Below are 2,662 nucleotides of genomic sequence, written 5' to 3' on the forward strand. Positions count from 1 at the left end.
ACTCCAACTGTCAACAATATTTTTTATGATTTTAGAGCACAGAGAGATTTTGTTCACCTCTATCCCTACAGCAAGTAATAAATATTTATTGATATAATTTCAAATAAATGTTTTTTTATAGAATTCAAAGAAACATCAAAAGTATATTTTTCTTAAAAAAAGACTTTCTGCTTAGCCAATTGTTCCAGCTTCTCTAAAGATACTTTTATCTTTATATAATTTGTAGCCATGCTATTTCACCAATTTATAAATCAGCTTTAAAAATCGAATGAGAGTTAAATAAATTTCACCTAACCTATTTAAATAAGTATAGTAGTCAATATTATATTTGCTCTATATTCAATAATTCCAAAGCTTCACTCCTTTGATTTTTATTTTAATATTAAGATAGCTTTGGCCTATTCTTATTGTTCTTAAAACTGCTCCTTGATTTATTTTTGTTGTGTGTTCCTAAAGTTATTCAGTAGCCTAATTAGATATTCATTTTGACATTCTGGTCCCAGAAGAAATAACATTAACTCCATACTTATCCATCTGGTTATCAGTTATAGCTTGTGAGTTGCAGCTTGTAATTTTCCAGGGACATGTGGGCGCCCTTCCAGTTAGGCTATTAAAGTCTCTTACACTCTAACAACATGCTAATTAATATCCTTTCACGTTTGTGGATACACAGCAAAACACTGCCATATAGAGGAAATTTCATTTCTTCAATATTGAAGTGTAGAAATTTTAGATTAAAAATTAAGCCAGAAATTATTTATATATTTTCTGAGGAACCAAAACCTTTTATCTTCAATTTTATGAAACTGTTTAATTCACACATCATCTTAAATTTAATATCCATCATTGTAAAAAATTTGCACTGTGAAAAAGTATCTTAAAACCTGCATTCACAGAAGGGTGTTTCCTAGCAACCCCATACAATCAGGACCAATCCTTGGCTGAATTGTGACTCAAAGTGCTGTTAGAAGTAAAAATTTGCATGAGAAAGAGACCAATGTCTGTTCTGATTAGGAACAACAGCTCTTTCCTAATATTGGTCAGCAGCAGTCCAAAATCAGGCAGCTGTTTAGAAATGCCTTTGTTTTTATGAAATTTTGCCTGAGGAAGGAAAGCATTACATCCCCATAGACAGTACAGAGGCCACTAAAACTTCAGAAATTAATCCAGACAAATCAGGGATCTCACCTCTACAATACATTAAAATAAGTTGCTTCCTTTAATTTTGTTTAAATTTATTAATTCACTGTTATTTATTTTTACCTTGTAAATATAGTATTCACTGTTGCTTACTATAAGGACTAAATATTAGTTAATGGTCTTATAGAGAACCAGAGAACAGTTATTATATTAATTTGGATCTTTTATATATACATGTACTTGCACATTATCTTCCCTTTGTTGACTTCTGTTGTCCCTGAATATAAATTTCAGGACAGTTTATTTCAAATTATTCCAGTCTTAATCAATGCTTCCCCATAGTAATAATATCAAGCCAAAGAGATTTGATTTATTTATATTTATTTTAGGAAAAAAAAAGTTGCATTCTTTCAGAATAAGAATAAATACAAAACCTCAGTAAGTTAACTTACCACTATTTGATTTTTATTTCCTGTTAATTTTTTTGTCATTGTTGTTTTATATTCATATTACTAAGTAGAAAAAATTCCTGCCATCAAATAGGTCATGTAATGTACATTTGGGGCTATATAAAAACATAAAAACTATCAGAGTCAGATGAACTATGATTATTGCTACTACTAAAGTCTCAAAGACCACACAGAGGGATAGCCTGAGGAACACTGCATCCCAAATTTAGAAACCACATCTGTTCCTGGAGCTAAATTACAGCATATACTCTAAAGATTATTTTTAGCATAAATTTACCCCAGAAAAATACAAACAAGGCATGTAAGCGAACAAGAAACACCAAAATAATTAGACTATTCTCCAAATGTTTCTTGGCATTTATTAGATTATAAATACCCAATGCACAAAGAAGGATTTAGGGTACCAAGTGGAATAAACAAGCTTGTAGGTACTAGCTCTATTTATCAAAGTCTAAGCACAGATCCTCTTCTCAGAGATCATGCAATTAATAGTACATACCAGAACACACACACATACACACACAAAATACACATTATAGCAAAATTATTTCATTTTTAAAAAGGAGCTGTTAAAGAACTTTTTTGTTTTTTTAGATGGAGTCTCACTCTGTCGCTAGGCTGGAGTGCAGTGGCACGATCTCAGCTCACTGCAACCTCTGCCTCCCGGGTAAGAAATTTTTTTAAATGATCTTGGATTTCTTTTTCTTTTAATACATCCCATAGAATTAACAATATCCTGAATCTTTAGAAATATGATTGTCTATTTCACATAGTTGGAGAAATATAATTAAAAGAAAAATTACCTCCCAACACAGAAAACCTATCCACAAAGACAGAAAAGAAAGTAATTTTGTTACTCAATAAATATTAAACAAGAACCTGATGTGTATCACAAGCAATCTGCTAAGAGATTTGCAAAGACAAAAAAAAAAAAAACTCACCCTTTTAAATAGCCAAGCAGATACAATCCATAACATATATGTTTTCAAGATTAAACAATTGCTAGTCCTCAAGTAAGAGGACCTGACAGCACCATTCGTCATACATAGTTC

The 2,662-nt window shown here is 31.0% G+C and overlaps 1 annotated feature.

The window, feature by feature from the left end:
- Nucleotides 701–1,248: an enhancer, noted in NCBI's record as "OCT4-NANOG hESC enhancer chr6:104320451-104320998 (GRCh37/hg19 assembly coordinates)". NCBI's record gives its function as "activates a minimal SCP1, AML or CMV promoter by ChIP-STARR-seq in naive H9 embryonic stem cells {active_cell/tissue: H9 hESC(naive)}" and the evidence as "EXISTENCE:reporter gene assay evidence [ECO:0000049][PMID:30033119]".

This window comes from Homo sapiens, chromosome 6 (genome assembly GCF_000001405.40).
Source record: "Homo sapiens chromosome 6, GRCh38.p14 Primary Assembly".
NCBI lineage: Eukaryota > Metazoa > Chordata > Mammalia > Primates > Hominidae > Homo > Homo sapiens.